This window comes from Homo sapiens, chromosome 20, assembly GCF_000001405.40.
Source record: "Homo sapiens chromosome 20, GRCh38.p14 Primary Assembly".
Taxonomy (NCBI): domain Eukaryota; kingdom Metazoa; phylum Chordata; class Mammalia; order Primates; family Hominidae; genus Homo; species Homo sapiens.
The window spans coordinates 56,303,597-56,312,121 of NC_000020.11; positions in this window are offsets into that span (position 1 = coordinate 56,303,597).

The window sequence follows — 8,525 nt, forward strand, 5'->3', positions numbered from 1 at the left end:
TAAAATGGATTAAAAACATGTATAAGGCACACTGCCCCCATTAGAGGCTCTGAAAAAATTAATCTGCAGTAAAATAACATGCTAAATTTTTCAACTGTCTTTGACATTTATTCTTTCCTACCACCCTTTAACATTACACAGTATGACACTTCACACAAGCAGATTTTTGCAGGACATGTTTTACAGAAGGAAAACTGAGGCCAGGTATGGTGGTTCATACCTGTAATCCCAGCACTTTGGGAGGCTGAGGCAGGTGGATCACCTGAGGTCAGGAGTTCAAGACCAGCCTGGACAACACGGTGAAACCTCATCTCTACTAAAAATACAAAAAATTAGCTGGACGTGGTGGCATGCACCTGTAATCCCAGCTCCTCAGGAGGCTGAGGTACAAGAATCGCTTTGAGGTGGAGGTTGCAGTGAGCGGAGATCACGCCACTGCACTCCAGCCTGGGTGACAGAGCAAGACTCTGTGCCAAAAAAAAAAGGAAAACTGATCAACTGCTCCTCAGTGCCTGACCACCTCTTTTCCAAGAAGCTCTTTTTCGTGTTTCGATAACTTGCTATTTGCTCATTTTTTCTGGCTTTCAACTCTGCCATTTGATGAGTGCAATCAAATCCAAAGAAAAACAACTTAAGAGAAAATGCGCAAAGACAATGTTGACAAGAGCTGCTATATTTGGAGAGAAAACGAGGAACAATTAATCTACCTAGAACAAGGAAAGAAATCATGAAATCAATTCTCATACATTCATTGGATAGAATACTATCCTTCCCCTACAAGTAATAGTTCTAATGTATATATGAAAAGTTGTAAATGCTTATGACCTAAGTGAAAAATGAGGACACCATGTTGCACATGTGTTATGATACCGACCGTGTAAAAACAAACTATATTTGGGGGAGAAAAGCCAAAATGTGGGTGTGTTTGCGTTTAGGTCTTAGAATTTGGGTATTTTGTTTCCTTCTTTCCTTTATTTCTCAAATGTCTTTTCAAAGCACCTAGCACTTCCAGGAAAACAATGTAAAAAATTAAAGAAAATTAAAAATAAAACACTGATAGAATGACAGCCAAGACGCATGTGGGGGCTGGAGGGTTGCTGCTGATTCACTTTGGTCCATGGATTTTCTGACGCTGTTTTTATTCTATTGAAGCAATTTGGGCAGTGTCAGCTCTCCACCCCTGCTGTAAAAATGCAAATGTGGTGGCCTCTCCCTACTCCCACTGCTCTGAGCAATTCTCCATCACCCATGGCACAGAGAAGTCGCTAGGGACCCCTGTCTCCAGGCTTCCCTGATAGCTGCCTTGCCTGCACCATTTCTTCCCCTGTGAAAGCCACTACCAGCCCCATGGTCCCACCCTCCCAGCACCGGGCCCCAAACCCTAACTGCCTCTCAAAACTCACCTCCAATTCCTCTTCATTTACATCTTTCCCATCTACTCAGCTAGATGAAGTATGTGCCCAAACGCCCAGCCCTAATTCTGGTAGAGAGTGAATAGTTCAGTTTCCCTTCGCTTTCTCCCTCTTCTTTTAAAAAATTAAACACTTGATTAAACAAACAGAAAATCATTTCTTTGCAAATGCCAGCCTGCAGAAGTGTCTTCGGCAGATAGTTTTTCCAGCCAGTTCTTCTCTAATTTTTCCTTGAAACACCCACCGTTCATTTCCGCTACCCCTGCGCTTTCCCCTAACGCCCACAACTTGGTAATAATTGGGAGGCCAGCGCCAGACTGAGTGGATTCAACAGTCATTAAGCAAAATGCAAAAGTTAAACCAGAGCCTCGCTGGATCGCACAGCTGTTCCTACACCTGAAGGGGAGCCACTTTTATTAAATTATGCATCCGGTGTGCCTTTTATTTCCTCAATGAGAACGTGGTTCATAAGTGGTTATGGGGATTACCTTAACCAATTAATTTCAACAATTTATAGCCTTGAGGCAATTTCACTGCAGTATGTAGTGGGTGGATTGAGCATTTGAGCTTATGAAAGAATAATGATTTGTTTTTTGAACTCTGGACATTCCATGGGTCAGGGAACATGTCGTTTGGTATGCTGTACCTGCCCAGCTCTTTGGAGGCGTTCTCTCACTCAAGCTGGGTTACCCCCTCAGGAAACAGAGTCACAATGTCCCTCTTTGCAGGGTTCTAATTGTGTCTACTATCCACAAGAGCCTCATATGTTCAGGAATAAAAATAATCAATAGCTTCCTGGTTAGACTGACCAGGATAATGGGAAATGGGCTTGAGGAGGGAGAGCAGATGCCAGGAGCTTGGCAGGCAGGTTTCTGGAAAGGTTTTGCTTTCAAAATCATATATAAGTAGCTGGGCCAGGCAACCTGACCTGTTGAGAAAAAGTCCTCCAAGGCCAACAGTTAAGAGTCTGACAAGCATTTCTTTTGGTCCTACTATGCACTGAGGGCAGCACAGGATGTAAGAATGAATGAGACCTGGAGCCTGCCTGCCCTCAAAGGGCTTACAGTCTCCCAGGAACAGGTATTGGCACAAAATAGGCTCCCATTTGTATTTGAGTACAGAAATCCTACAATTCAATGTGGTAATACAGTAAAGAAACTAAAAAGATTTCAGTGGTGGTCTGGCTTCCCTATCTACCAGCCCTGTGACCCTGGGAAATATTCTTAGACTTTCTGCTCCTCAGTTTCCTCACCTTTAAAATTAGGACAATGATAATGTCCACTTCGTGGAGTTGTTATGAGGAGCAAATATGTTGAGATTTAAAAAGCACTGGAACGGTATCTGGCTTAGGTTTAATTTTTTCTTTCTGCTTAATGACTTGAAGGTAGATTGAGCCTGGTACTGGCCTTCCAATTATTACCAAGTCATGGGAGTTGGACGGTACAAGGATGAACTGTGGGTGGTCCAGGAGAAAACTGCAGAGGAACTGGCTGAAAAAAAAAAAATCAAAGATACATGTTCAGCCTGACATTTGCAAAGAAATTATGTTCTATTCACTTAATATTTGAGGCATAATTTAGAAATAAAAAGTCATCGTATAATTGATAATCAAATTTAAAAGTAAAGTACAAAAATCAAATTTAAAAGTAAAGTACAAAATCAAATGCCACCATGTCCTCAGTACCCAAGGGAGGGATCTTCATTATTAACATAGCTCCTGCTTCTAGAAATTCTCAGGACATGATAAATATCAAATAATATGATGAAAACCAAAATATAGACAAGGCATTTAGGAGAAGCAACTATTAAAAAAAAAAAAAGTCCTCTGTTGTATCTTGTATATCACTCAGGATCCAGGCATTAAATAAATGGCATGCTCAAGAGAGACAATTAAAGAGAATTTAACAAAGGATCAACTTACAAAGGCGTGGGCATAATTAAGGAAAATCAACAAGGAGTGGGGAAATCCCCAGGAGCTGGAAATAGCAGGAAGCGATCCCCAGTCTGGACTTGAAGGGGCATGTGGTTGTGGGGCCCAGGACCTGGAGAGACCCAAAGCTGGAGGAAAGCGCCACCTGACAGGTGCTGTTACTTAAGGGGAGGAGCTCAGTCTGCCGTCATATGATATTGTGGCTCGAGCTTCAATCTCTTGATGGCTCCCATTGGACAAACCCAGCTGGAAACCAGGGGATGAAGGGCCATGATTGATGCAGCACACACAGGTTGTCCTGCCATGACCAAGAGCATTATGGGATTAAGAGGCACACAGAGAAAATGTCTCAACTGTAAAATTAGCATAATATTAGTACCCTTGTCAGAGAACTATTCTGATCATTAGATAAAGAGATACATAAAGCACAGTCTCTGGCACATATTAGTGCTCAATAAATGTTAGCTTATTATAGGATTATTAGTCCATATAATCAATTTATCTCTAAAGTATGGGGTATAAATACTGATGTTTTCAAATAACTGTAGAAGTGAATTCCTTCTAAAAATCCATCTTATAATGGCCTCAGAGATTTATATTAATTAATTTATCTCTATTTATTTGTTTGTAGTGAAAAATTTGCCAAAGAATTCATTTCAAAGGTGGCTGTTTCACCACACACACTCATAGGAAAACATTCCTTATTTATGAGGATTTTTGTGCCTTGAATTAACATCCCCTGACCATCAAGAAAGAAACAGTTCTTACAAAATAGAAATGATTTTTCTGCAAAGAACCGCTGTTCCAAGTTTATGGAAATTGATTCAATATTTGCCCTAATTCCTGTGTCAAAATCTGGTGTAAAAAGTTCTAGGTTTATCTACTGCCTGAGACATACAATGGTCTGAGTGGTATTTCACCACAAGGGTTCCTGAAGAAAGTTTTACTAGATCTTCCCCTCTTGAAAGCAAAAGATGAGTTTTTGAAAACTAAACTACTGATCTAAAGCTCAACACTCAAATGTAACACACAAGATTGCTATCAATACTATTTATATTGGAGGATTTTCATTTCTTGTGGTCAGTAATGCCAGGTATATCCAGGGATTTGTACCAGCCTGTGGCAACCCTAGCTGTACAGTGTGAGCAACCTATAGTTATAAGCCCTAGGTACAGAGTCTTACCAACTTTCTACTTGCCACCTGGATTCTGTGTACCTTCATCTGGAGTGGGAGCCAGAATGCCTACTTCAAATCATACCTCTACAACTTAATAACTAAATGACCTTGGGCAAATTACCCTTTCAGGGCCTCAGTTTTTCCATCTGTAAAACGGGAATAATAACAGCACGTTCCTCAAAGAGCCACTGTGAAGATTAAATGAATAAATGAATGCAAAGCACTTAGCATGGTGCCTGGCATTCATTCATTGAACAAATATTTACCGAGCGTCAACTATGTGCTAAGTACTGTTTTAGGCACTGAGGTTGCAGGTAAAAAATCCTGCCTTCCTTGATCTTCCCCAAGTAGAATTACTTGGGGAAACCAGGCTAAAATAATAATAAACAGGCAAATTATAGAGCATGTTAGAAGGTAATGAATGTCATAGAAAAATTAAACAAGAGAAGGGGCATCCAGGCAGCCAGCAAGTGTCGGGATTATGATTTTAACAAGATATGAGGGAAGACTTCACTGAGATGACATTTTAGCTGTAGCATTTGAGGATGATGAGGTGTGAGCGATGGGGATAATTGGGGAAAGAGTGTTCCAGGTGGCAGAAAATTGCCAGTGCAAAGGTCCTGAGGGCAGGATACTCTCTGCCACATTCAAGGAACAGTCAGGGGGTCAGAAGGGGTCAATAGTAATATATTTTGAAGGTAGAATCAAGGGGATTGGGTGGGGTGAGATGTGAAAGAAAGAGGAGTCAGGAGTGATTCCAAGGGTTTGTCTTGGGCAAGTAAAGGGATGGCATTGCCCTGTCCTGGGGCAGTGAGTTGGCCAGCCTACTCTTTTGTATTTTTTTAAATTTACATCCACTTTTTATTCCTTCATAGATTTTAACAATTATACACAACTTTTAACATAAAGGTAGTGAAATCTCAAGGATAAGGAAGCTATATATATGTATATACACACATACATATACATATACACACACATATATATACATATATACACACACATATACACACACACACACACACACACACACATATATATATATGGCTTCTTCTATTCATTCTTCAGGATGGAAGGAAATTTCCAAAGGGTTACAATGTGTGAGATTTAACAATGGAAAAATACATATGAAACTTGTTTAACTGGCTCCACTTAAGACCAGGCACAGCACAATAAATACAGAACTGCATCATCTTTTTAAAATTTTGTATTGCTTTATGACACATGCACACGTATGTTTATTGCAGCACTATTCACAATAGCAAATACTTGGAACCAACCCAAATGTCCAACAATGATAGACTGGATTAAGAAAATGTGGCACATATACACCATGGAATACTATGCAGCCATAAAAAAGGATGAGTTCATGTCCTTTGTAGGGACATGGATGAAATTGGAAATCATCATTCTCAGTAAACTATCGCAAGGACAAAAAACCAAACACCGCATGTTCTCACTCATAGGTGGGAATTGAACAATGAAAACACATGGACACAGGAAGGGAAACATCACACTCTGGGGACTGTTGTGGGGTGGGGGGAGGGAGGAGGGATAGCATTAGGAGATATACCTAATGCTAAATGACGAGTTAATGGGTGCAGCACACCAGCATGGCACAGGTATACATATGTAACTAACCTGCACATTGTGCACATGTACCCTAAAACTTAAAGTATAATAATAGTAAAATAAAATAAAATTAAATAAATAAATAAAAAATGAAATAAAATTTTGTATGCTTTATAATGAAAAATTCCAGGATTTGATCTGGACTCTCATCTAATGCCAAAGCTGGTCCTCCACTCCATATTCCCATTCACTGGCGATTAAACCTCAGTCCCTCCAGGACACCCTGGACACAGTGGCTGAACTAACCCATCAACAGAGTATATTGAAGACACTTTCCCACTCAGCATTAATTCCTGGGCTAAGTTAGCTTGAATTAAAGCTCAGTGAGATGGAAGTGATTTCCCAAGGGCCCCATCACAAGTCAGAACTGGAGTTTCCAGCTTATAAAAACTCATCCTACTTGGCATGAATAATACTTCTCCTCTAAAGCAGCAGTTCTTAACCTTCTGGAGATCTTGGGCCACTCTGAGAATCCAATGGAAATGATAGACCACATCCCCTGGAAATGCACCTAAGCATTCACGGCTGCATAGATCATTTCTGGAGGTTCATAGGCTCCTCTTTAAAGCTCACCTGTAAACCTGCTCAGGAAACCTGGGCTATGAGGCAAAGTTGAAAATAACTGCATTGGCTGGGCGCAGTGGCTCATGCCTGTAACCCTAGCACTTTGAGAGGCCGAGGCAGGAGGATTGCTTTAGGCTGAGAGTTCAAGACCAACCTAGCCAACATAGCAAGATCCTGTCTCTTTTTAAAAAATTGTTTATTAAAAAGAAATTTTAAAATAAGAAAATAACTAAATTTTTCCTAGATATTTATTATTTTGAATAGATGATAGATATACAAGGTAGAAAAACACCAAAATAAAATAGGAAAAAGGGTATTCGATGGCACACTCCTTTCTTTTAGCATCTCAGTTCTCATGACCAGATGCATTCACCTCTAACAGGTCCTTCTGCAGACACCCAGAGATGAAGGGAGGGCTGTCCCTTGCCTTTCGCACAGAAGGTAGGTTCTTGGTTTTTCTCACTTAACCAGCTCTTATCGATTAATACTTAGGGATCTTTTAATCTCTTGCCATTAAAGAAAATATTATGATAAATAACCTTGAACATCACTGTTTATGCTCATTTAGGAGTATGTCTGTAGCAAAAGCTCCCAGAAGTGGGATTGCAGGTCCCTAGGATGTGTGTATTTTATATTTAATAGATCTTCCAAGTTGCCCTCCAAAGGAGCTCTACCAATTTACACTTCCACCAACAAAATTACCAAGTATTTTAAAAATACTACCACATACTTCTCAGAACTCAAACTATTAAATTTTTTAATAAAAGAAATCCATTATAATTAAATCTTTCCTGACTTCTCTTAAATAGTCCATGTTCATTCCACAAATTATTCTCACAAATAAAAAACAACAGTCTAACTCACCCATTCACACTTACCTCCGGCCAAAAAGCAAAGGCAGGCACACAGGTAAGCCTTTGGAATGCTCATCTGTTAAGAGGGACTCTTTCTTGACAATAACCCCTCCACCCCACTATTAACGGATAGACACCCAATTGTTAATATCTTATGAGAATTGAAATTTGTTTCAATTCCAAAGGAACTTCATATGAAGAGAGAAAAGTTTGAAAGATCAAAATCCCCAGGGAAAAGAAAAAATGTCAAGGCCAGAATCCATTCTCATGTCAATTAGTTCCAGTGAAGAGCTACTGACTCACAGTTTCCAATGTTGCCAAAGCAATTGCTCATTAAGACAAATTGAGACCATGTCTAACCCTTCTGTTTTCCCTTCATTCTGAGTAGAACGACCCATGCTTTCAGAATTAGATACATGGCACCAAGCACATTTAAGAATTAACAAGAAATGTTATTAAATAAAGTGTGTGGGGAGAAAAGTGCATTTGAATATGGATGAATCAGACAAGATTCTGTCCATGAGTTGCAAGAGACTAAAGATTCAACTCTAACTGCATTAGGGAAAAAAAAAAAAATTCATAGATAGATCACCCATGGGGCATGTTTTGATTCAGGTGTCAAACAAATACCATCCAGGAATAGTCTCCCCCCCATCTCTTGGCTCTGCCCTTCTTCACACTGACATTCTCAAAAAAAATGGTTCCCAGCCTGCGGACCTAAATCCCATCATGGGAAAGACAGCATCTCCTCCTCTGAACACCTGGGACAAAACTGCTGGACTCTGAACCAGACCCCGAACCATGCCCATCATTGCACTGGTCCTGCACCTTAGAGGAAGGAGGAGGACAAAGTTTGTTTCCACTCTTCCTCTTCCACTCTCGCTTCAGAAACATCCTCCTGGGTAAGGGAAGAATGGTTCGAAGGAAATACACTGGCTTTTTATTAGTAGGTGCTA